The 27,237-nt window shown below is 41.2% G+C and overlaps 1 protein-coding gene across 6 annotated transcripts in view, besides 3 other annotated features; it reads right to left on the bottom strand.

The window, feature by feature from the left end:
* CALU (calumenin) overlaps positions 1–21,209 on the bottom strand; it is a 34,042-nt gene extending 12,833 nt beyond the window's left edge. For 2 of the 6 annotated variants that reach the window (NM_001219.5, NM_001199673.2), the window contains exons 1-5: positions 21,136–21,209; positions 11,764–11,995; positions 6,113–6,306; positions 1,531–1,697; positions 716–776 (exon numbers count right to left, since the gene is read on the bottom strand). In NM_001219.5, coding sequence (NP_001210.1) covers positions 716–776; positions 1,531–1,697; positions 6,113–6,306; positions 11,764–11,984 — 643 coding nt within the window. In that variant the 5' untranslated portion in view covers positions 11,985–11,995; positions 21,136–21,209. Of the gene's footprint in view, positions 1–715; positions 777–1,530; positions 1,698–5,845; positions 6,040–6,112; positions 6,307–11,763; positions 11,996–12,200; positions 13,016–21,135 lie in introns of all 6 variants that reach the window. The other 4 variants (NM_001199671.2, NM_001199672.2, NM_001130674.3 and 1 more) reach the window with 4 other exon arrangements.
* Positions 20,873–20,972: an enhancer, noted in NCBI's record as "active region_26603". NCBI's record gives its function as "activates an Ori minimal core promoter by ATAC-STARR-seq in GM12878 lymphoblastoid cells {active_cell/tissue: GM12878}" and the evidence as "EXISTENCE:reporter gene assay evidence [ECO:0000049][PMID:35858748]".
* Positions 21,253–21,392: a silencer, noted in NCBI's record as "silent region_18613". NCBI's record gives its function as "represses an Ori minimal core promoter by ATAC-STARR-seq in GM12878 lymphoblastoid cells {active_cell/tissue: GM12878}" and the evidence as "EXISTENCE:reporter gene assay evidence [ECO:0000049][PMID:35858748]".
* Positions 21,463–21,602: a silencer, noted in NCBI's record as "silent region_18612". NCBI's record gives its function as "represses an Ori minimal core promoter by ATAC-STARR-seq in GM12878 lymphoblastoid cells {active_cell/tissue: GM12878}" and the evidence as "EXISTENCE:reporter gene assay evidence [ECO:0000049][PMID:35858748]".

Raw genomic sequence — 27,237 nt, 5'->3', positions numbered from 1 at the left:
TTGAGGATGGTAGCCACAGGTGCTTATTAAGCACTTGAAATGTGGCTGGGATGTGCTTTAAGTATTAAAAAAAAACCCTCAATAATTTACATTAAGTGGAAATTATAGAGTTTTAGAATATTAGGTTAAATAACTACTGAAATTTCATCTGTTTCTTTTTACTTTTTAATGTGGCTATTAGAAAAGTTAAAATTACATATGGGGCTCACATTTATATTTTGATTGGGCAATGTGGCTACGGATACTTTATCACAACCCACTATCACACTGGTCTGGTTAATGATCTGGTGACAGCTAATGAGCTAGTGAGAATTGACCCTTGGAGTAAATTGTTTCTATGGGCAAATACATCTTTCTTTCTTTCTTTTTTTGAGACAGTTTCACTCTTGTTGCCCAGGCTGGAGTGCAATGGCGTGTTCTCGGCTCACTGCAACCTCCGCCTCCTGGGTTCAAGCGATTCTTCTGCCTCAGCCTCCTGAGTAGCTGGGATTACAGGCGCCCGCCACCACACCCAACTAATTTTTTTGTATTTTTAGTAGAGACGGGGTTTCCCCATGTTGGCCAGGCTGGACTTGGACTCCTGACCTCAGGTGATCTGCCCGCCTCGGCCTCCCAGTGTTGGGATTACAGGCATGAGCCACTGTGCCCAGCCAGCAAATACACCTTTCAAAGCTTCTCAGCTTTTCTAAGAAAAACACTAAAAGCAGAGACTTACCAATATACTCTTCTAGATCAATGAAACCATCAGCATTCTTATCTATATCTTCCATTGTTTCCTAAACAGGAAAGAATAAGAAGAGACTATTAAGTTGGTCTCTGAATTTGCCAGAAGAAAGTAAAGTATCTAGTTTAGGTAAACATTTATTATTCATTAAACACACTTGTACATGTATGTATGTATGTATGTATGTATGCATGTGTGTCTGTATGGTTAAAACCATTTCTAGCCAAGAAATGGTAAAACATGAGCAATTTCCTATGCTTCAATCTAAAATAACTGAGTCTTCCTGACAGAACACTGACACTGCTTAATGACAAACTATCCCATCAAGCCCATGATGATCTACCTGGTAGCCTTAGTCATGCTAAAGTCACACTAACAGGAGATGTGACCAGTGATTATGTGTTTAGCTATAGATAGTCTATGTTGTCAGTAACTGCCTTCTGTGAGAGTTCTTTAGTATCACTGTTATTACTCAATGTCTGACTATTGGTCATGGGATATTTTAAATAATGGGATTTCCCCCCATTCTTACAATATGAAGCTACCAATGAAATGGCAAAATACATTATATGACAGAAGGTATTATCATACTAAACAGAATGCCCAAGGCACCTTGATCAAGGTCACAGAAAAACAGTGACAGACCTTGGATTCTGAATCTGGCCAATACTTATATAGCATATACAGTGATATGCTATATAGCATATATATATATAAGATATGCTATATAAGGCTAAAGGGGAAAGACAGAATAAGCCACAAAAAGAGAAACTGAGTCCCTGTTCAGAATCCTTCATCTCACCCACCTGTACTACTATATCTTTCATGTAGTCATACTCCTCAGGGTGCAGGAAAGCTGTGAACTCCTCCTTGGTGGCAATGAGGTCTCCATCCTTGTCTGCCATTTTAAACCTCCGCTCATCTCTAACCATCATCTGTTTATAGTTAAATCCATCATCAGGATCTGGATCATCTAGAAAACAAAAATTTAGGTCAAATCTTAAAAGACTTTCAGAAAACATGAAAATGTGTGGGGTGGGAAATCAATTTCCAATAAAGATAAAACCATGCAAGGAAGAAATAATTGATGACACAGGTAAAACTGCAGCAGTACAAAGACATTTAGTTTTGGGCTACAGCTCCAGGCATCAGATCTCAGAGTCAGCTCCAAGTTCACATGGAACTCTGGCTCCTGAACTATGTAACTCACTGTTATGCTTCACTATTGGTATTAAGGCTACTAGAAGGCTTGAATTTTCTAGTTACATCTGGAAGGCAGTGGTGGCTCTCAAGTCCCATACTGCCTGAGTTTGAACTCTACCATTTTCTAGCTGTTTGGCCTGTGTCTTGGTCTCTTTTATCTGTAAAATGGAGCTAGCAATGGTGCCGGCTTCATAGGATTGTTGTAAGGTTTAAATGAGAAAATATATCTAAGTGCTTAGAACAATGCCTGGCACATAGTTGGCTTTCAACAAATGTCAGTTATTGCTACTTTTATTAAACATTAGGATCTCATTAAAAAGATAGAAATCAAAGGCCTTCTACCTCACATAATGGACACTTGGATTCAAGCAATAGAATGCCACCACTTTGAAGGTCACATTCTGTTTTTTTTCAGTCAACGCAGAAATCTACCAAGAGTGACAGGTATTGTTCATCCCCATTTACGTAAAATTCTAGAAAATGCAAACTAACTTAGAGTCACAGAAAACAGATGAGTGATTGCCTAGGGACGGGGGAATGGCGAGAATGAGAAGGATTACCAAGGGACATGAGGAAATGTTGGGGGGGTAATGGATATGCTCATTATCGTGATTGCAGTGGTGGTTTCACTGGTAAATACATACGTCAAAACTCATCAATTATGCACTTAAATACATACAGTTCACTTTATGTCAATAATAACTTGACAAAGGTATACAAAAAAAAAAACCCTTAGATTACAACCAAATTGAATTTGGAACTACCCATCTGTTATGACATCGAGCTACACAAGCAGCAGTTATCTAGTCTCTATATAAGAATATAGAAAAGTGAAATTTAGTTTTTTAAGCTGAAAAAATGTGGCGTTAACTGCAGAAAATAAAATTCTTTTTCAATCTGCGTTCCTGTATAAACCAAATTAAGATAACAGACATGAAGATATTTTAAAAAGTAAAAGACACCACATTAATGGTAAGAAATTATTGTTCCTGCAACATATTGATTACATAAAAAGGATATGACACTGCTTTTATAAAAAAGACCCACAGGGCCCCTTTAAGAATAACATCATTACTGCTGACCTTTGAGATTGTTCAGTCTTTCCATACTTTAAGCACAGTTTAAAGAAACAAAAACAAAACTACTGTACTATTTTGAGAGTTGAGCATTTTGAAGCTTCATTTTTTATTGAGTGTCAAAAATTCAGTCAGACAGCTTAACGAGTCATAAGGCTTTGGGATCCTGTGTACACACACACACACACACACACACACACACACACTCAAAGCCATAATAGGTTGAGATGGAGAACGTAAGGCAAACAAGCCTTTCTCAGATACTAAAGTGTCTCTTCTAAACAAGGTTTCAGGACTATGTAACATAAATAAGAAACATAACAAGACAACTTATACTTTAAGACTAGATTCTTACATAAGTGCTCTCCTCCCCTCCTTGGGGTAAAAGGTAAAAATGGTGACTGGACTCAAATAGCCTAATAGCAACATGCACATATATATATAAGGAGGGAAACAGGAAGATACAATTTTTTTTTTTTTTAATTTATAGTCAGGTCCTTGTTCTGTGTGGCCCAGGCTGGAGTGCAATGCAATCATAGCTCAATGCAGTCTTGGACTCTGGGGCTCAAGCAATCCTCCTGCTTCGGCCTCCCAAGTAGCTAGGACTACTGACAAGTATTACCACTCCTGGCTAATTTTTAATATTTTTTTTGTAAAGACGGGGTCTGGCTTTGTTGCCCTGGCTGGTCGCGAATTCCCGGACTCAAGCAACCTTTCTGCCTCGGCCTCCCAAAATGCTAGGATTATAGGCATAAGCCACTGTGCCTGTCCAAAACTTTATTTTTAATGACAAAACCTATTTTCCTATAGCTCTGCTTGGAATGCTGTATTTATCCTAAGCACCAGTTTTGGCCCTAGCTGGCCTGTATACAGCTTTAGGTAGGCTCTTGATCTAGTTTTGCTATAGGCAGGGTAGATCTCAGTATTTCATATTTTCCTTGTGGCAGAGACAGTGTTAACCTTTCTCTCATGGATAGCGGATTCATTGAGACAGATTTTAACTAAGAGCTATGATGATTTATACCTGAACTCCAAATTGAATCAAGAACACACAGTAACAAAAACTCCTCACTTCTCTAAGCCGACTCATGACCCCCTCAGTGCTGTCCACCCTCATGCCTCTGGGGAAAGATGCCTTATAAAGACATTGCTTCCCAGCCAGTGCTTCAGCTTATGCAGTCTCAGGCAGCAGAAATACCCATTACGTTGAATCATCTGCCTTGTGAGGCAACAGAGCTCTCAACAGATTTTTATGCACATAATCATACACAGCACCGAAGAATCATTCTGGGCAGCAAGTGAGTGCCTAGGTCGGAGCTGAGATTTATTTACACACCATTTTGTTTAGATCACCAATAGCCTACTCTTTGCTTTGTATTTATCATTAATTCCAAATAAATCAGGAAGGTGTTGGGTCTCAGCCAGAGCAAGAAGCAGGATGCCTCTCCATCTGTGCTGACTGTTTAATACATGTGTTCTTAATTGGGTGAAGGATATGTTTGGTTCTTGGCTAAGTGTCAAGCATTGAGAGAGAGTGCCACTTTAGTCTTAGGAATGAGAACAAGCCTGACACAGAAATAAAAGTCTCTTCACCAGAAATGCATGCAGTCCTGTAATTAATGCAGACAGCTGGCTATCTGTGGGGAAACAGATCCATTATACACTCACTGTTAGTCAGTGGCGGAGAACGCTTGCTTTAACCCAGAAGGTTGCCTAATTTCCAGGATTAAAATGGAGAAAGTACCATTTATATTCATTTATATTAATACAATTCTTGTCTTAAACTGTAACCATGTACAACAGAGGAATTTCACAAATAAAAACACCCTGGATCATCAACTCAATAAGACTCACTGCCTAGTATTCAGCAGCAGGCAAGTGTTACAAGTAAAAGAAAATTACTAACAGGTGGCCCAAGCATACAAGCTATCAAATCAACAAAAAGCAATCAAATTAACATTTATTTGCCTTAAAGCACTTGCAAAGCAGGCTGATAAACTCATGTGCCAGAGAAAACAAATGGGAAATTTTCATTTCCAAACTTCAGTAAGCAGACATACTGAAATAGTTAAATTTTATTAAGGAAAACTATTTTATTAAGACTTCTCACCAGTTATAAAGAAATCTAATTTGGTTTGAATTTTAGGTCCAACACTTTACTGGGACCATGTCAAGAAACATCTCAAAGCCCCTTGCTTTGCACTGTTGGAAGTATGTAGCCTCATAGCCTCTTTTTTTTTTTTTTTTTTTTTTTTGGACAGAGCTCGCTCTGTCCCCAAGGCTGGTGTGCAGCAGTGCAATCATGGCTCGCAGCTGCCTCAACCTCCTGGGCTTAAGTGATCCTCCCACCTTAGCCTCCTGAGTATCTAGGACAGGTGTGTGCCACCATGCTTGGCTAATTTAAATTTTTTTTTTTTTTTTTGGTAGAGACAGGGTGTCCCTATGTTGCCCAGATTGGTCTCAAACTCCTGGGCCCAGGCAATCCTCCTGCCTCAGCATCCCAAAGTGCTTATAGGCGTGAGCTATCGGCACCCAGCCCAATGTATTCTTTTAAATGAAATCTACTCCAAAAATTGTCTCTATGAGGGATGACATAAAGAAAAAATGGTAAAATATATGTAAAATGCTAAAAATGTAGAAGATACCAGACTTCCAGACTTCAGAAAACAAAAATTAAACAAATTTAAAAATACATAATATACAAATTTAAAATTAATAAAGGGAATCAGCTTAGCACTGAATTGAACTATTTAAGATAAGCTTCCTTTCCTTTACTGTGTGACCCATTTGTTTCTTTGACTCAAGACCACGGTCCCTGCCAGGCTGACATCTTGCCCCTTACCCAGGTAAGTGCCATAAGTCACGTTTCTGTACTCATCCCAGGAGATTAAGCCGTCTTGATTCATATCAAACTCCTGCCATTGGTTTTCAACATTGTCATATATGTATTTCTTCTGGGCGTGCTTAATCCAGGATTTCAGCTCCCCCTCCGTCACAAACCCATCTTTATCCGCGTCTATTTTATCTACAATCATTCTACAAGACAAAACAGTTACGTTTCAAGGTGCCAGCTCCACAAGGCTTTTTCCCCCAGACAGTAGGGACCTACCTAAAACGTAGCCGTAGGTGGCATTTTTATACTCCTCCCAGGAAACGAGGCCGTCCTCATTGAGGTCATGCCCCTTCCACTGTCGCTCTACATCCTCGTAAATCCAGCGCTTTTGTGCAAATTTAATCCAGTCTTTGAGCTCATCCACAGTGACAAACCCGTCCTTGTCGCCATCTATTTTACTTACAATCTTTCTGTAGAAAATGCAGAGAAATCCAGCAAAAGGTTAAAAAGACACAGAACTCTGGACTTAGCCAGGTGTGTGCCCAGGGCTAATGCACAGAAATAAAAAATTGTCTCCAAAACAAAACTGCCAGGCCAGCAACTGAAAAAAATGGTCCATTACTGGTCTGTAATAAGCCACGTGAATAAGGTCAACACAGTCATGGCTGGTGCACTTGGATCCAAAAGCAAACTCAGCCTATCTCTTTGGAGGTAGATTTCAGCCTATGGTTAGAATTCAGGAGTGAATATCCATTCCTATCCAAGTTCTCCACTCTTTGCATCAAACAACATGTAAAACTTTGTTTTTCCTTGTTTTCATTTTTATTTTCTCTAGCGAAGATGTGGCTGAACTTTATTTTTCTTTATTGCTTACAGAAGAGAAACTCCAATTCTTGGTAAATAATCATGGTTTTCTAAAAATTCAAAATAGTTACATCAGACTTCAAAAATTTAGCTGATTTTAGAAAAAGTAACACTTTTGATAAAAATACAAAGATATCAGAAAAGTTCTGGGATCATTTATATCTCAAGGCAAGATTATTTTTAAAAAACAGATAAAAAGACAGGAAGATGCTTGTCTAAAAAATGGCTAGCAGCTTTTAAATACTGTGTTGAATTGGATTTTTACATGAAAACAGAGAACTCTGAGGAAATGATGTGGTAAGAATGTATATCTGATTATAAGAATGTTAATAAGCTGAAAGGGTTAGTATGTAGATTATAAAGCAAAACCACAAAGCTAAAGAATCAGTGGCTTTATGAAGCTTTATAAGTGTCTTTCTTCCAGATCTGTCATCTTATGGATTTAAAAATATGTCCATGATATGAAAACTTCTGTTTAAAGGTGCAATCACTTAACTATAGGGGCAAAGTCATCCTATGTAATGTCACCCAAGTAAGCAGCCCAGTTTGGAATATGAAGTTGAAGTCAAAACTTCCAACAGAAGAGAAATCTTGGTATAGTCCTATGCTCTATTATTTGCAGGATTGAAAAGATTGTCACTTGGTAGCAAATAATGTCTTTCCCCAGCTTGTGTTCATTTCATGAATACAACATAGGAAAGTGATCAGAATTGAAAAGTACTAGTGACTCTAAGAAAAGAGACTCATTTTGATACAGATCAGGTGTTAGATACAACTATTACTTAAATCCTGTAAGTAACTAGCATTTTCCTTCAGAGAATGTGTAATCTTGCTCTAAAATGTTAACAGGAAAGGTAAACCAGTAAGAAGTTATCTCTGGCCTGGTACGGTGGCTCACGCCTATAATCTCAGCACTTTGGGAGGCCGAGGCGGGCAGATCACCTGGCGGGAGGTGAGGAATTCGAGACCAGCCTGGCCAACATGGTGAAACCCAGTCTCTACTAAAAACACAAAAATTAGCCGGGCATGGTGGCGCATGCCTGTAATCTCAGCTATTCAGGAGGCTGAGGCAGGAGAATCTCTTGAACCTGGGAGGCGGCGGTTGCAATGAGTTGAGATCGCGCCACTGCACTCCAGCCCAGGTGACAGAGCAAGACTTCGTCTCAGAAAAAAAAGTAGTTATCTCTTAAATATCCTCTTCTATCTACATAGACATAAGGACAATTTTTGTTGTTGTAACTTTAGTCCTGTAGAATTTTAACACTATTCACAGATGAAGCTATACCAATATTGAAAAGTTCTACATTATTTATAATGGAATGCAGTTTGTGCTCAAATGGTACTGGCTACCAATAGTGCCACTGTACAGTTCAGAAATAAAGGGCAAGGAAAAAGGGCAACCAGAACCCCTCCTACCCCCAAAAGGTATTTTTAAACTATTATAAATAGCCTGAAGAGAAGGATCGCCCAGATAAAAAAAGACATATGACTGTTCAAGGTGGGCTTTTCTTAATTAAGTTGACTGAAGAGCATTCTATTCAATGCAAACAACTCAAATGGTTTAACCTAGGGGTTGGCAAACTTAAGAAAAAAATTTATTGTTTTTTACTTAAACAGAAATATAGTTTACAAGGCAAACTTCTTTTTTAAAAAAGGGACAGATAGTAAATATTTTTGACTTTGTGGGCAACATATGGTATGGTGTGTGTGTGTGTGTATTTTTTTTTTAACAAGCCTCTGAAAATGTAAAAGCCATTCTTATCTTGCTGAGCACCAAGCCTGCAGGCAGTTGTGTAAGTACACTGGAAGTGGGCACATCCTATTTTAGGCATAAGGCTCTAAATTATCATCTTTAAATGCCTGTGTAAATTTATGAAGCTAATGGTGTCATAGTCCTGTGACAGGGGAGAACCCTATGGACGCCACTAAATAAGCCTTTATTCTAGGACAGACACAGTGCATTAGTGCACCTCATGTTATTTCTTTTAGGAGGTAGCACATACCTCTACATTTCAAGGAGCATAAAGCAAACCCTTCAGTTGTTTAAGAATTTGGATCAATAAATGGGCTCCAGAAGGGTGACTAATATTCCTGAAATTTTCAGTGTGCAAAATTTTCTTATTTTGTTATTATTATTTTTTGAGATAGGGTCTTGCTCTGTCACCCAGGCTGGAGGGCAGTGGTACAATTACAGCTCACTGTAGCCTTGCCCTTCCCGGCTGAAGGGATCCTCTCATCTCAACCTCCTTAGTAGCTGGGACTACAGGCACATGCCACCATGCCTAGCTGATTTTTTAATTTGTTGTAGAGAGAGGGTCTCCCTATATTGCCCAGGCTGGTCTCGAACTCCTGAGCTCAAGCAATCCTCCTGCTTCAGCCTCTCAAAGTGCTGGGATTACAGCCATGAGCCATTGCGCCTAGCCCAAAATTGTATATGTAAGTGTGCACTTTTCTGAGGAAAAGTCCTTAGCTTTCATTAGACTCCCAAAGGGTCTGGGCCTGTGATCCCCAAAAGGATAATGAACTGCTCTAGTTCACTTCTATAGTAAATATATCAAGGAATTTTTTTTTTTTTTTTTTTGAGACGGAGTCTCACTTTGTTGCCAGGCTGGAGTGCAGTGGTGCGATCTTGGCTCACTGCAACCTCTGCCTCCCAGGTTCAAGCAATTCTCCTGCCTCAGCCTCCCAAGTAGCTGGGACTACAGGCACGCGCCACCAGGCCCAGCTAATGTTTGTATTTTTAGTAGAGATGGGATTTCACCATATTGGCCAGGATGGTCTTGATCTCTTGACCTCATAAACTGCCTGCCTCGGCCTCCCAAAGTGCTGGGATTACAGGCATGAGCCATTGCGCCCAGCCAGAGAACTTTTTTAATATTAAGAACCACTACCTCAAAACAAATCTTCATTTTAAGGATACATAAAATCGCCTATTTGTCAACATTCTTAATAAGAAAAAATACCTGAAACTTGTATATTGAATTGTTTTAAAATGCTTCCTGTGTTCTTTTAGCTATTATTATTAAAGATTTCAAAAAGTCGTGAATTTTTGCAACTAAAGGCATGAACAATGACTTATCTCTTAATAATTATGTGCCATATAGACAGATGGAAAAAAGAGGGAACCTGTTGTTCCCAGCTGGTATACATTACCCCACCAAAACAATGTTTTGAAATGCCACAGTAAATAAGTTTTTTAAAAGTTTCATGTGGGATTCTTGCTCCCAACCGTATGTTACTGTATAAAGTAGGGATATTTGTCATTACCAACAAAATTTGGGAGAAGCAAACAGTCTATTCATACATTCCATAAAAAACATGATTTTATCATCTTATTCTAATCAAATACAGAATCTGCATATGTGACAAACTTTTAATATCCACTGATCACAAAAAGGAATACTTTCAACTGAAAAGTGCCAGCAGAGCTTTCTCCCTACCTGCAAGGAGCCAGAACATCCTCATTATAGTACCATCTACCCTAAATGATACCAAACCTAAGGGCCTTTCATTATTTTAGAGTTAATTCTGTGAAAAAATATGTGCAGACCAAAATGTGGGTTGGACGTGCACAATATTAATGGGCATGACATGAAGACTTAGAATACCCTCTGCATTTCTATTTTCTTTTTTTTTTTTTTTTTTTTGAGATGGCTCTGTTGCCCAGGCTGGAGTGCAGTGGCGTGATCTCGGCTCACTACAAGCTCCACCTCCCGGGTTCACGCCATTCTCCTGCCTCAGCCTCCCAAGTAGCTGGGACTACAGGCACGCGCCACCACGCCCGGCTAATTTTTTTTGTATTTTTAGTAGAGATGGGGTTTCACAGTGTTAGCCAGGATGGTCTCGATCTCCTGACCTCGTGATCCAACCGCCTCAGCCTCCCAAGGTGCTGGGATTACAGGCGTGAGCCACCGTACCTGATCTGCATTTCTATTTTCAGCCTGGAATGTTAGTACAGTTATTAGATTAAAACTGAAAGTGAGGATGGTCTCCCAAAGGAAAGCAACCTAATAGAAAACTAACTCTGTGATGCATATCTATCTACTTTCAAATGCTATGTGACAGTGCTCATTCTACATAGCAAAATATCTTTATTATTTCTGTCAATGTTGAAAAATAAAACATTGTACCCTTCAGTCAGTAGATAACCCAATGAAAAAATACATCTATTCTGCAGCATCTTCCAAAGCAAATCCTACAACGTCTTATGATCAAAATGCTACCCATCAAGGCAAAATATTTTTAGAAATTGCTATGTGTGGCACAACTTTCCACACAAATCTCTTGAATACAATCAGGAAGTTGCACCAACAGTGCTCACTGAGAAGAATATTTTTACAAAATTGACCTGCATTTTCTTCAAAAGGAAGGCTTTGGAAGGACCAAAAAAGACATTCTCAGATCCCCAATTAGAAATAATCAACTGGGATTCTACCAAATCCATTTTTCAGGACAAAAGATGTCTACCGAGAGAGCCAAAGAACCTGACTATGGCCCTGCTGTTACTGAAACAGTAACTCATACTCAGACATTAAGTTACAATTTTCTAAAAGACAAAGTTGGTTTGATTTTTGTTTTTTAATTAAACAAATATCTGAGAATGAAAATAAAGAGGGTGAAGGACACCTCGGGAAATCATAAACTTTATAGGGATCCAATGTGCCGTTTATTAGCCCATCAAAGACTTGGCTTGTGCCAGGTCAGTAGGGCACAGATAGTTTTTAAAAATTAAAAGCAGTAGAGATGAGAAGAGATGAGAAATCCCCCCATGCTATGTTCTTCTGGTAGCAAGATAATGCAGTTCAAGTTGGGTCTTGCAGTACTTGGTACTTTTATGCAAAAATGATGCTTTGTAGAATGAGGCACCAACTGTTATTCAATTAAAAATGTATGAAATCAGGCATTTAATGAAATTTTAGAGGTAGTAATTCCATGGTTAGCTTTCAGAAGATGTATTAATAGTTCAATATAACTTTACTCATAACTGAGCCAGAAAAGAAAAGAATTAGCCTTTATAAAGAATGTCATTACCCACACTAGACCCCTGAGAGGTGGTACCTTACCCAAGCCTTTCCTTGCTCTCTTCTGGTGTCAGCTGATCAAAGGTCTTTGCTTCTTCAGCACCCAAGAAGGCATCATGGTCATAATCAAAACTCTGAGCATCATTGTGAACCTTGTCACTGAGCTGAGGCTCATGATGTACACGGTCCTTCTTTTCTGTGGGTTTGCTCAAGGCAAAGGCTGTGCACAGGGACAGGCACATAAGAAACTGTCGCAGGTCCATGATAATTAGATCTTGAAGAAAATGAAAAGCAGTTAATTCAGGAGGCAGTATGCTTAATAACTAAATAAGAAATTAAAAGCTCACATCCGAGTTAAACTATTAATTTGATATACATATCTATGCAAGTCTTTTATATTATCCCAAATATTACTTCATCCATAAAATAAGTATGGTGGAATATCAGACTCTTCAATTATTACAGTGAGAAATTTTTACCAGTTTCCTTCATCTGATTGTAGGCTGATAAGAAACTTATAGTTAAAATGTCCACTTTCTGTTTTCTTTCAAAAGATACCAAAGTAGAATTTTAATCCTTTTGCCCAAGTTCATAAGAATTAAAAGTGAAAGAACCAAGGTTTAAATGTTGACTCCAAATCCTTTACTTCTTGTACGCATTGGTGGTCTGGTCTTCAAACATGGCTGGTTATTAGAATCATCTAGGAAGCTTTAAGTTTCTCCTATTGATTTAGAGTCTCTGAAGCTGAATTCAGACATTCGTAGCTTTAAATGTTTTTCAGGTGATTCTGATGTTCATGAGATTAGGAACCAGCGAAATACTTGGCAGCTTCCTTGGTCTATAGCACCAAGTCTCCAACATCCAGGCTCAACCTTGAGTCACCTTCAAAGGCCAAATCATTCAGATGGTCTAGTCATAGATAAGAACGTCTTTATCCTTCTGCACAGTTGTTTCCCATACTTGCCTAGGCATAAATACCACCTGTAGTACTGTTCAAAGTACAGATTCCCAGGCCCTGATTCAAACTTTCAGAATCTCTGTAGTCACAGGTGACTCTAATGAACAAGCACAAAGCTGGAACACTTGACTGAAAAATGTGACAAAAAACCTGCAAAGAAGCTGCAGAGTACACATCTGTTTAGCACACTCTACTGATACCCCGTGATACTATCCAGAGTGGTTAAGGTCTTAGAGGGAAAAAAAAAAATTAAAAATCAAGAAGAAGGGTTTTCAGGCTTTTACATTTTTTCTTTCATCACTGGGAAGGCAGCTCAGTGGGGGAGGGTGGGAGGTCCTGAAATGGCAGAGGAGGACATATCAGTAGAGAGTGGAAAGTGTTCTAGAGTAAATACGACAACACAGTAAGACAAACAGAAAAGTACCTAAGGAGATAATGGGGGCGGGGGTTGGGGGGCAGTCATTCCCAAGTGCCCCAGTCTCAAATAAGGTACTGTTACTGATGACGTGAAGGTTAAGACTTAGGAAAATCCATCAGAAGAAGCAATGTGAAAGCAAGACCATGAAACCCATAGAGAAATGGGTAGAAGATGGTACTTATTACTCTATTCCTATCAATGTTAGAACTTGGCTATGTTTCTCAACATTGTTTCATTCAATCCCATCAAAATACCCACATTTACAGACAAAGATACTTGTATTAAGATGTTCAATGATGACAGTTCACAATGATTAAAAAATCGGAAAACAAATAAAAACAGAGAATTGGTAAAATATATTAAATCTCGATTATGGAAAAATACACAAAGGTTAAAAAGAATGGGCCGGGCGCAGTGGCTCATGCTTGTAATCCCAGCACACTGGGAGGCCGAGGCGGGTGGATCACAAGGTCAGGAGATCGAGATCATCCTGGCTAACACGGTAAAACCCCGTCTCTACTACAAATACAAAAAATTAGCCGGGCGTGGTGGTGGGTGCCTGTAGTCCCAGCTACTTGGGAGGCTGTGGCAGGAGAATGGCGTGAACCCAGGAGGCAGAGCTTGCAGTGAGCCGAGATAGCACCTCTACACTCCAGCCTGGGCTACAGAGTGAGACTCCGTCTCAAAAAAAAAAAAAAAAAAAAAAAAGAATGACATGAGGCCGGGGGTGGTGGTTCACGCCTGTAATCCCAAGACTTTGGGAGGCTAATGCAGGCGGATCACTTGCATCCGGGAGTTTAAGACAAGCCTGGGTGATAGCGAAACACTGTCTCTACTAAAAATACAAAAATTAGCTGGGCATGGTGGCATACACCTGTAGTCTCAGCTACTCAGGAGGCTGAGGTGGGAGGATAGCTTGAACCCACCAGGTGGAGGTTGCAGTTAGCTGAGATTGTACCACTGCACTCCAGCGTGGGTGACAGAGATCCTATCTCAAAAAAAATAAAAAAAGCAGCCAGGCATGGTGGCTCATGCCTGTAATCCCAGCACTTTGGGAGGCCGAGGCGGGAGGATCACTTGAGGTCAGGAGTTCGAGACCACCCTGGGAAATACGGTGAAACCCTGTCTCTACTAAAAATACAAAACTTAGCTGGGTGTGGTGGCACACGCCTGTAGTCCCAGCTACTCAGGAGGCTGAGGCACGAGAAGTACTGGAACCCGGGAGGCAGAGGCTGCAGTGAGCTGAGATCTCACCACTGCACTTCAGTGACAGAGCGAGACCCTTCCTCAAAAAAAAGAATGTAAAAAAAAAAAAAGAACGAGATGCATCTATCTGCAGTGAAATGGAAAATTCACCAAGATATGTCAAGTGAACAAAAAAAGCAAGGTTCAAAACAACGTCAAGATCTCATTTACATAAAAAGCAAAACAAAATTAAACAATCTCCCCAGCTTGTTTTTATTTGTATAAAATATAACATGCACATAAATGGTGTGCAAAGACAAATACCCATGTGTAAACAGTGGTAACCTCAAGGTTCATGGGAGAAGAGACAGGAATGGGGTGGGCTGGTAAGATTGGTGTGAAAGTGAACTTTAATACTGTATCCTGCTGTACTGTCTAATTTGTATGAACAGCACACTCTCATGTTTATTAGCTTTCTGTGTGCACCACTTGTAAAATATTGCTCTGGGTGAACAACACTCTGGCTGACCCTCCAATAATTCAACTGATCAATCAAATCAGTTAAAGAGTAAACAGAAAATCCGAGATTTAGCGGCTCTATAAATACAACATTAAAGTGAGTATGCCTTTACTTCAGGGCAAAATGAAACTTCTATCTCAAACTATAAACAATTCTTTTTTTGAGACAGGGTCTTACTCTGTCACCCAGGCTAGATATAGTGGTGTGATGATAGCTCACTGCAGTCTGGTCCTCTGGGGCTCAGACCATCCTCCCACTTCAGCCTCCCAAGTAGCTGGGAATACAAGTGTGTACCACCATGCACAGCAAATTAAAAAAAAAAAAATGTTGTAGAGTCTCACTATGTTGCCCAGACTGGTCTCAAGCGATCCTCCAGCCCTGGCCTCCCAAAGTGCTGGGATTACAGTCGTAAGCCACCATACCCAGCCTATAAACAAATAATTCTTTAGATAAACAAAACTTTGGAAACAAAAAACAGAATTATATGTTGTTGATGTTTTGGGATATATCCCAACAATATGTATAGTGACAGAGGCTTGCAGAATCAAGTAAAATCAAGAGTCACTGCAACAAAGGATTTTCCTTATGCCTAAGGGGACTTTATCTTTAGGAAAATTTTACAAATGATTACATTCTCAAAATAAAATATAGCATAATACCCTAACAATTCTTGCCAACCCCAAATATTACAATATGAATAAATACTTATGCACTCTAACATAATCTGGTCCTGGAAAGGATACTGTACCAAGTTTTGAGACATGTAGCATACAGAAATGTAATAGATTGGTTTACTCTGTGATTTAGAGGGAAAACTACATTTATGTTTCAGGCTTAATATCTTGATACAAGGATACCAGAATTCCAAAGAGTAGAAGCCAAGTGATTTAGCTTTATCACTCACCCATTTCTCCTTCCTTCCCCTCTCCTGAATAAACTTTCAATCTCATCCCTTAAACAGGCTCCTCCATTCTGTCAATCAGTGCTTCTCAGGTCTCCACTACCCACAGTCTTTCCCAGACTGTGCTGTTCCTTCATGCTTGCTCCTCCCTTTCCCTCACCCACAGTTTCTACCCTGCTGCCTCTGCTTCCTCACTGTCCAATGCTACCCTGAAACCTGGCTTCCTTACTATTGATGAAACTGCCTACAACGGTCATCAAGGACCCAGATGGACAAAGCCAATGGTCCATCTTTACTTCTTTATCTTTCTGCAGGGAGGAATGAAAAATCTGCACTTTAAAGAAGTTCTACTTAAAAAAAAACAAAACGTCCTTTGTGCCCACATATATAACAACTCCTGGCTATTAGAAACTTTAACAAAGCCCTCTTGTTTTATGAATATAGACACTAAAAACAAAAAACACCATCCATACCAAAAACTGTACTAGATTTATCTAAAACCATATGGTTTTTGGTATGGAGCATGTATGTTCAAGCAGAAACAAAGGACATCTAAGACAAAGGATATCTTACGTGGGAAGATGTGAAAGGAACAGTAAAAAATAACTTCATACACAGCATTTGAAAATCTACTTTAGTGCACTTCGTTTTCTTTTGTTGAGACTGAGTCTGTCTCTGTTGCCCAGGATGGAGTGCAGTGGTGTGATCTTGGCTCACTGCAACCTCCACCTCCTGGGTTCAAGTGATTCTCCTGCCTCAGCCTCCTCAATAGCTGGGATTACAGGCATGGTCTACCACGCCCGAATAATTTTTGTATTTTTAGTAGATACAGGGTTTCACCATGTTGTCCAGGTTGGTCTCAAACTCCTGACCTCAAGTGATTCTCCCGTCTCGGCCTCCCAAAGTGTCGGGATTACAGGTGTGAGCTACCATGACCAGCCAGTACACTTCATTTCTGAAGCATCTTTGTCTTTTCAACCAAATTGAAACCAAATGATACAAAGTTAATGGCCCTTCTCATTTTCCTCACCCACTTCAACACTTTATAAAAGTTTAGACTGGGCCAGCAGCAGTGGCTCAAGCCTGTAATCCCAGCACTTTGGAGGGCCAAGGCGGATGGAATGCTGGTGTTCAAGACCAGCCTAGGCAATCCCATCTCCACCAAAAATACAAAAAATTAGCTGGGTGTGGTGGCGCAGCTATAGTCCCAGCTACCGGGGAAGCTGAAGTGGGAGGATCGCCTGAGCCCCGGAGACACGAGGTTACAGTGAGTCATGATCATGCCACCACACTCCAGCCTTGGTGAGGGAACAAGACCCTGTCTCAAAAAAAGAAAAAGAAAAAAAAAAGTTTAAATTGGATACTTTTGTCCAAAAAGTAAAAAAAAAGTTTAGAGGAATAGGTACAGATCACTTCCAGCTGGAAAGATCTTTGTGTATCCATTGGGCCATACATACTGATCACAATACTGGTCCAATGGATATACTATGGACATAATGGACAACATAATATTAGGAAAAATATGATACACATAAACAAAAGACTTAGCTGTATGAGCTTTTATCATGTGATCTAGAAAGTAAACCAATGGTTGTGAAAACTGAATTTCCCCACCTCCCATTTCTCAAATGAGTTTCTCTCTCTAAAATTCTGTCCCTCTTCCACGAAGGGTAACATCTAATATTTTTTTCTTGGGAAAAAAAAAAAATCTAGGCCTGTACTGCCCAGTACAGTAGCCACTAGCCACATGTGACTACTAAGCACTTGAAATGTGGCTAGTGTGAATTGCGATTGGTATAAGTGTTACATTTCATATTGAAAGAATGGTATTTTATATGTATTAGATTAAACATTATTAAAATTACTTTCACCTGTTTTAGATTTTCACCTGAAAATTTAAAATTACATATGTGGCTTGTATTATATTTTTATTGGACAGCATGTTAGACACAAACCAAAAGATTAGAACAGAAAATATATCCAGTAGCTATCATCCTTTTGTAGTATTAGTATGTCACCAATAATGGTCTTCTATAAAGTTGTTTTCATGAATCGTTCCAGTAATTTATAAAGAGAAAAGCCTAACTGGGTTAAGTGTGATTTTAATAATAATGAGTCTTAAGAATTGGTTTCTTCGATCCATCCAAAAATGTCCTTAAAAGCTCTAAATTCTTATCACTTCTCCCTACCCCACCCTTCAGGTAAGAACTTAGAGCTTTCAAGGAAGTTTTTGTCCTTAGTGTCCATAGTGTATCCATTGGACCAGTATTGCGAGCAATACATGGCCCAAACTTTCAATTTTGGTAAAGTGCCATTGGTCACAGAATACTTAAATTGTTTCAGGGAAATTTAGATGTTTAAATTCAACTTCACAAGAACGTTAACACTGAGTGATCCAACAGTTATTATGGTTGACCAAAGACCCATTGCTCAATGTTAACAATTGGGAGAAATGGGTGTGGTAGTAAAATTCCAGTTCTCTGAGCTGGATGGATATTCACCAGAAAAGGCATTTATTTCTCCATAACGCAGCAAAAGCAGGATCTCATTGTTTAACTGTCTACTTCAATTGGAGATTACAGGGAACAGACTGATAGCAATTTAACTATACTAAGGCCCAGGTTATGAGATCTCGAAAATGAAGTTATCTTGTTATCTATCTGACATTCTTTACTTACAAACTTTAGTACTATACCAATGGACTATCACATAAAAGTGATGGCATCCTTCATGATTTGATAAAAGTCATGATACCAACACATAATTTATTTAACGTCTCTCTAGTGATGAAGTTACATCTGTTCATCAATACATTCTAATTATATTGTGTGATGGAGGGAATACATTTATAAGACAGCTGAGATAATAGAAGTGTAAAATCTGGCTGCAGAAGAAAAACCCTGAGAATGTCTGAAACTATTACTCAAGCTTCATTAGTTCTATAACCAAAGCAACCCAGCACAAACTTTAAATTTTTCTGGCTACAGAATAAAAAACTTTTTAAAGAAAAAAGTTCTAGAAATTCTGAGAGAAAAAAGTTTCCTTTTCGTTGACAAGCCTTAATACATAATCAATTGTGAGAGAAATGCTATTTGAAATGTAGGGATAGGAGCCTTGGTTTCTAGTTGTAATTTTGCTGTGCATGTGTAACATGCGTGACACTGTTGAGAATTTGGTAGTTATTTTAGCTCAAACTTCCTTCAGTGCCAGATGTCTATAAATAAATTTAAGATCCTAGAAGACCTACCTACTATGATCACTCTAGCTGGAAGTGATCTGTTATCTTTTTCTCTTTTTGGACAAAAAGGGTATGATCCAATCTAAACTTCTATAAAACTCGTCTGAACCACTCAAAAACAATGACCATAGGTTACCTTAAGTTGTCTCCTTAGCTCCCCTTTAGAATCGACATTTCTGGAAGAATGTCTACATATCATTCTAATACAAATTATTACCCCTATATTGTCCCTAATACATTGTCTTGCACTTTTTTGATACCAATACATTTTACTGGATTAATACATCTTACTGAATTAATTGGGCGGTACTTGGCAGCAATGTGGTTCCTGCCTGCCTGTGTTCTCCAACTTCCAATTCCGTTTACTGGATCTGGCAATCAGCCAGGAACAGGCAAAAGTGTTATTTCAGCTGTCTTAACTCTAATACATAAATTACTGCATCAGCAACATCCATACTTAAGAGTTCAGAGAGTGAGAATCTAGGGCCTTGTGGCCTAGCTAGCATTTCCAGTGGCTATCCTTGGCTACACCTCTGTCCTTTCAATATCCCTGGTATACCTACGTTACAGAAAATCTGTGTTAACACCAATGTACTAGGGTGTGGTGTTATATACCTCTAGTCTCAGCTACTTGGGAGGCTGAGGCAGGAGGACTGCTTGAGCATGGGAGTTCAAGGCTCCACCTGGTCAACATACTGAGACCCTCAACTCTAAAATAAATAAATTTTAAAAAATAACACCAATATATAGATCCCAATACTGCTCTAATGGATATTAAGTGCTATCAATAAGTACTTCTTGACACATCACTGGATGAATGAAAACAAACAATGATTACATTGAGAGTGACAATGAGTTGGTTTCAAAGCTATATTGAGTACTATTCACTCAGGCATACTCAATACATTTTTGTGAGCTCATGGCTTTCCTACTTGTGATTCTCAAAAGAATCCTATTGGAACCCCCCCACCCCCCAATCACAGTAAAACCTCAGATTAGGTCTTGGCAAACTCATTTTCTTGACAAATACAACTTAGAGGTTATATCTGGTCCCTCATTTGGATTATACTATATAAATTCTTCAGTGATTACTGTCGTTTGGTATTTGGTTAATTAAATCTACTGAGTGAGGTCAAACTTGCATTTGTCTTGTGTCAAGTTCCATTCTATGGCAGACTAATTTAACAGAGATTCCAAGGTTCTCTGCCTCCAAGCTGAATAAGCTACTAGAACAAAAAACAACTAGAAGCCACCTTATTCCCAATTCATTAACGTTGACTTCATGGTCCACACCAGAAAATGAACGCAACTCAATTCTCGAAGACACTATTCTAGAATTTTATACACTTAGGAATTCAGATCACAGGCTCAAAAGTTTTAGCAGGAGACCCACGGAGCTTGGGCCTTGATGCAAAAGCAGCTTTTGAAACTGCAAGCCACTCTACGCTTAATCGCGGCAGCTATAGGGAATTAAGTTTATTTCTGACCGCAGCATGCTAAAAATCAGTAGGATATGGGGCTAGAAGCAACAAAAAACGTAACAAAAATTAATTCCCCAATAAAGCTTTAAAAACTATTTTCCGTCGCTAACTGAAGTACGTAGCCAAATATGGAAGCTCTAAACATTCAGCTTTTCTTTAAAATCATAGATATCACCTAGTGTCGTCACTCGTTCTCTCCCCCCTTGTTTCTGCACCCTTTAGGTGAGTGAACACGACCTTGGCAGATGCACCCTACTGTCGGGATGTGGCCTTGGGGCGGAGCTGGCAGATACAAGCAGGATGGTGAGTGGAGGCGGCAAGGAACTCTTACAATAACACTATCCAAATGCCCTCCGACCTTCCGGAGGCAAAAAATGACCCTCTGGTGCCAGAGACTCGGTGAGTGGCGTGACCTAGAGATGGAGGACCAGGACGCAGCAAACCAGGCACAGAACAGTACCCAACGGGACAGAGTTCCACCGGACCAGCCCCCTTCCCAGAGCGCGCGGTAAGACGGGCGGCGGCCTCCATCCCAGGCTGCACACAGAGGGTCCCGGGATCTCCAGCAGCATCAGGCCTGGGACCCGGGCGCCAGCAGAGACAGCGGCACCGAGTGAGGCAGTCCCCTGCCGCGCCAAGAACAAGACCGGGGACAGAAAGAAAGCGAATAAAGATGAGGCAGTGGTGAAGGGGCTGGGCATCACCGTACTTACCTTTCCTCGTAGCCCCCACAGCACAGGATGCCGTGGCCGCCGCTCACCCACCGGCTCAGCTCACGCGCGCAAGCACCGCCCAACCGGAAGCGGGTCCGCACCCCGCCCTCATCCGCCTCGCCGGCGGCCTCCCGACCAATCATCAGCAAACCCGCCGCTGTCGCATAGCGTCCCCGAGTAGCCATTGGTCTAACAATCGCATAGCCGGGATTGGCTGGAAAGCGCCACGTCCCCGGGACCGCGCCGAGTTGCGTGGAGCGGATTCCCGCCCAACTCTCGTCCCCGGGATTGTTGGGACGGCGGGCTCCAGCCCCAGCCCCAGCCCCAGCCCCGTACTGCGGGTGGCGTGGGCGCGGCCGTGTGGCCGCCACGTCCCCATTCACAGCTCATGACTCTGCTTCCACAGGGCTTCTTAGACTATCCTGCTAGTTATCTTCATTCCCACAAGACCACCAGGGCGGAATTAATCCGACTGAATCAGTCACCAACTTTATTGAACAATCCCAACTTTTTCTTTCCCTTCAGCGCTGCGCCCTGCGCTATCTACAGGAGGCTCTTCAGTCTTTGGCACCAGTGTATCTTTTAGCTCCATCTCCCAACACTCCCCCTCATCTTGCGCTCTGGGCACCATCATCTGTTTCCTAACAACCGGTCCTTTTTCATCTCTTAAGATTTTTGATCAAGAGGCTTCCTCTGCCAGGAATAAGTGCGTTTTCCTGATTTTCTGCCTTGCCAATAGAAGTCCCAGTTCAGATGTTAGCTCTAGAAGCCTTCCCTGACCTCACTAAGCATAATTCTTACCTTATTTACCATCATAGCTGTTTATAGCTTCAGTACACTTTGCCAAATTCTGCTATAAAATGTAGCTTATCCATCTGTCCTCTTCTAGAGTAAGCTCCTGGGTAGGTATCTGTCTATTCATCTTTATATCTGCAACTCTGAGCTTACTGCCCAGCTCAGTAATGTTAAGTGAAGGGAATGGGCCGAACCCGTTGCATGTCCCTGAAAATTTAATTTCATGTCATGAAATTAAAACAAATATCAAATAAAGGCTACTATAGCTTCAACACAAATGGAATGTAAACCTGTGGCATTCTTAGCACATAAAGCCTCTGTAGTTTAAAATCAAATTGAGACAAGTTGTAAACTCATGAAACAGTTAAGCTCATGAAAGCAAGCTAGTTACTGTCAACGTGAAAGGTTTACAACTAATCCTTCTGGCATTCAAAGGAGTGTCAGTGACCCTTGGTGGTAGTCAGGGAAGGCTTCAGAGGAAGATATGACTAAGGCTGGACTAAGGAAGTCCCAAATGGACTATTCAGCAAGAAGAGTAATAGGAATAAGGACAAGTGGAGGGCAGAGTGGGAGGTAAATTCTCAGGCCAGGTAGCAAATGAGGAAGGTTAAAAAAAGGGGTGGGGGGAAACAATGAAAGAAAAGCATGGATAGTAAGTTTGGAGAGGTAATGGAAGATCTTGTCAATTTGAGGAACCTGAACTGAAGACAGTGGGAACTGTGGGTCTTCCTGGGAAAGTTTCTAAGCTTGTGCCTACAGGGAAGCCATCTAATGGGTATTAACAATAAAACAGGCTACCTCAGGAGGCATTATTTCGAAAACAGTTTTTAAAATACCTCCTTAAGGATCACTTGAGGCCAGGAGTTTGAGACCAGCCTGGGCAAAATAACGAGACCCTTCCTCCCCCTATCTCTACAAAAAAACAAAAACTAAAAATTAGCTGGGTGTGGTGGCACACACATGTAGTTCAAGCTAGTTGCTTGAGCCCAGGAGGTTGAGGCTGCAATGAACTATGACTGTACCACTTCACTCCAGCCTGGGCAACAGAGCAAGACCCTTTCTCTTAAAAAATAAAAATAACAACTCCTTAAGGTCAGGCACTGTGTTATGTGCTGGTGAACCCAAAGTAAACAGGACATCGTCCCTGTCCTCAAGGAACTCAGCTTAATGGTGCGCCATCCATCCTGGAATTGTCCTAGTAAAGGCTAAACAGGTAGTGAGGGTGCCAGAGATAGGGCCCTCCAACCCTGAGGTTCCCTAATGGAGAAGGGCCTGGCCTAGCAAGGGAAAGGGAAATGGAAATGAACCTTTATATACAAGAGTTTTTTTGTTTGTTTGTTTTGTTTTGTTTTTCTTTTTTTTTGAGATGGAGTTTTGCTTTTGTCGCCCAGGCTGTAGTGCAATGGTGCGACCTTGGCTCACTGCACCTCCGCCTCCTAGGTTCAAGTGATTCTCCTGCCTCAGCCTCCCAAGTAACTGGGATTACAGGCATGTGCCACCACGCCTGGCTAATTTTTGTATTTTTAGTAGAGACAAGGTTTCACCATGTTGGTCAGGCCAATGTCGAACTCCTGACCTCTAGTGATCCGCCTGCCTCGGCCTCCCAAAGTGCTGGGATTACAGGCATGAGCCACGGTGCCCAGCCACAAGAGAGATTTTAAAAGTGGAAATAAGTCCTGAGCTTAGTGACCACTCGAATGAAAGAAATGAAGAAGGAGCACTCAAAAGTTAAAAGGTTTAATCATGGGAGACTAGGAGAATGAGCTAGGTGCATGGAATGAGGGAAGTCAATTGAGTTCAAGACATAGGAAGTCTATGTGATGGCGGAATAGCCAAAGAGAAAGAGCCAAGAGCCTGGAGGAGATATTTGGGAGGGGTTGTTGGCTAGCAGATGGCTGATGGAGCCATGAGAACAGATAAACTTTTTGAGGAGACGAAAGCAGATTAGGCCTCATGGGAGCCCCAGAGTTAGAAAGTAGGTGGAGGAAGGAAGAAAAGGACCTGAGGGACAACACATATTAGAAATGCCGCCAATAGCTGCACCCGAGGCCATCGAGTGAGAGCAGCACTGAAGGACTGCTTGGGGCCGGCATGATGGTGTCACCATAAAAGGCTGACATTCATCTCCAAGCTTCCCATCTCTGCTCATGGGTGCTACTGAACTTTCAATGTTTCCTGTGTGCAGACACTGTTCTAGGAACTGGGGATACAACAGTGAACAAAATTAAGTCTGTCACGGTGCTTATACTCTGGTGTGTAGAGGTAGGTGAGACAGCCCATAAACAAGACAAAAAAGCAACATACATAGAATGAGAGGTGGTGACAGGTGCTGTTACCTGAAAAACCAGGGTTTGTTCGCTTAGTGAGTAACAAACAATGCAAAACGCAGTTTGTGATCAATAGCAGTTTTATTACTTGGCATATGTAAGAAGGATACTGGGAATGTTCTCTAAAGCAGTGTCTCCCCAGGGGAAAGTGACAGGAGGGTTTTACAGGGTGATGGAGAGAGTGCAAAATCACATGTAGAGGAGGGGTCCCAGTGGCACAAACGAGTGAGTCATTATGCCAGAACATAGGTGGCATGTTATGGCAACGAAGCTATAGCTCCTCCTAGGGTGGAGACTTTGGCATGGTCAAGGGAAAAGTTGACTCAGTTCATCTATAAATTGCCAGGGTCTGCAAGGAGCTGGTTCAAACCAACAAGGTGACCACATTCCATGCAGGGTTTGGGGAAGAACAGGCTGCAGGGCAGAAGGCTGTAAAACAGGCTGATTGCTCGAGTTGATTGAATTCCTTTTATCCCTGGAGACCCTGATATGGTTTGGATCTGTGTTGTAAACCCTAGTATTGGAGGAGGGGCCTGGTGGGAGGTGAATGGATCATGGGGCGGAGTTCTCATGAATGGTTTAGCACCATCCCCGCTTGGTACTGTATAGTGAGTGATTTCTAATGAGATCTGTTCATTTAAAGTCTGTGGCACCTCCCCCGCCCCTTCCTCCTGCTCCAGCCATGCAAGACGTATCTGCTTCCCCATTGCCTTCCGCCATAATTTCCCTGAGGCCTCCCAAGAAGCAGAAGCCACTGTGCTTCCTGTACAGCTGCAGAACTCTGAGCCAATTAAATCTCTTTTCTTTGTAAATTACCCAGTCTCAGGTATTTCTTTATAGCAATACAAGAATGGACTAATACAGACCCTCTCTGTCTGCTTACATAAGGAGAAAAATAAGGCAGGAAAGGAGAACAGTGAGTGTTGGGACTATCAGGAGTGGCGTTGCCATCTCAGAAAAGGTGGCCAGGGAAGCTCATGAGAGGGTGACACGTGAGTGAACATCTGAAGGTGGTGAACATTCCAGGAAAAGGGAACACCAAGGCAAGGCCCTGAGTTGGGAGTATGTTTGAAGTGTTTGAGGAGCAACTGGAAGCCAGTGGGACTGCAGTACAGTAGCAAGGAGAGTAGAGGACATGAGGTCAGAGAGGGAGCAACAGGAATGAGGGAGGGAGAGAGGGACACCATGTAGGGCCTTTAGGCTATTGCAAGGACTTTAGCTTTCGCTATGATGAGTGAGAGGATATGAAGACTGACTATTTGCTAAATTGTTTCTTCTTCTTTCTGTGAACCCAGCTAGACTACATTTCCCAGCCTCCCTTCCAGTATGGTCATATGACTGAGCTCTGACTGAAGGAAGGAGGGTGGAGATGTTGTACACTACTTCCAGTACTGGCCATACAGACCTGCCATGTGTAATTCTCCAAGCTCATTCTCTTTCTGTGGCTAGAAGCTGTGTATTGCAGATGGCAGAGCCACAAGATGGAAGAAGCCCAGGTTCCTGTGAAACTGCCACTCAGTTTTTGAACCAGGAACACCATTTTTGGACTCTTTGTGAATGAGAAGTAGAACTTCTATTAGCTATTTTATGCCATTGATATATTAGGATTTATCTCTTTCAGAGCTAGCATTGCCTTAACTAATACAGAAGGGAAACCATTGGAAGGTTTTGAGCAGAGAAGAAACATGATCTAAGATTTTTAAAGGATCACATTAGACTGAAAGGGAGTAAGGTTAGGAACGGAGTGCATTTAGGAGGTGTTTGCAACAATCCAGGTGAGTGATGATGATGGTTTGGTCCAGGTTGGTAGCAGTGGAAGTAGTGAGAATATCAAATTCTGAATATATTTTGAAAGTAGTTTGAAAGGATTTCCTAATGGGTTGGAAATAGGGTGGAGAGAAAGAGAGGAGTTAAGGATGACTCCAGGGTTTTGAGCAAGTAGAAAAATGAGGCTTCTGCTTATTAGGATGGAGAAGACTTTAGAGAGAACAAAGTTTTGAGGGATAATTTTTTTTTTTTTCTGAGACAGAGTCTCGCTCTGTCGCCCAGGCTGTAGTACAGTGGTGTGATCTCAGCTCACTGCAACCTCTGCCTCCTGGGTTCTAGTGATTCTCCTGGCTCAGCCTCCCGAGTAGCTGGGATTACAGGCATGCACCACCACACCCAGCTAATTTGAGGGATAATATTGAGAGATTTGTTTTGGGCATGTTGAGATACATATTAGACATTCAAGTAGAGATATCGACTAGGCAGTTGGATATGTATCTCGAGTACATGGTGGTCTGGACTAAATATATAAATTTACGAGTATATTTGTGGCATGAAATCTGTGTGTTTTGATTACAAGAGACTTAAGGACTGAATCCTGGGAATTTCTGATGTTCAGATATGATTGGGGGGTGTTGATGAGAATGAATCAGCAAAGGAACTGAGAAAAAGGTCAATGAGGGAGAAGGAAAGCCAGGAGAGTGTCCTGGAAGCCAAGTGAAGAAAAGGTTCAGGGAGAAAGCATGCTGCTGACAGTGAGGTGGGGCCCAGTTGGCCATGGGCTTTAGCAGTGTGGGAATCTTTGACAGGTTTGTCAAGGTAGTGAATGCAAAAACCTGGTTGAAGGACTTCAAGAGACAATGGAGATTTTTAAAAGTTGGTTCCCTTTCATGGAGTTTTCTGTAAAGGGGTGGAGAAAACTGGAGCAAGGAGGCAGAGGGGCCAAGAGAGGTTTTGTTTTATTTTGTTCTGTTTTTATTGTAAGAAATAAGTATGTTTAGGAGGCATGCCAGTATGTTCGTTGCTGATGGGAAGGATCTGGAAGTAGAGATCAAACTGATGACGTAGGAAAAAGGAAAAGTTGCTGGTGTGACATATTTGGGTGAGATGGAATGGGATCTACTACAAAAGGGGAAGAGCTGGACTCTGCTTGGAGAGACAGTTCCTCCATAGTAACAAAGAGAGAAGCTAGAGTCAATGGGTCTGGATCTAG

This window comes from Homo sapiens, chromosome 7, assembly GCF_000001405.40.
Source record: "Homo sapiens chromosome 7, GRCh38.p14 Primary Assembly".
NCBI classification, from domain to species: Eukaryota; Metazoa; Chordata; class Mammalia; order Primates; family Hominidae; genus Homo; species Homo sapiens.
The sequence above is the reverse complement of the archived record's forward strand: the minus strand, read 5'-3'. Positions and strand labels throughout refer to the sequence as shown.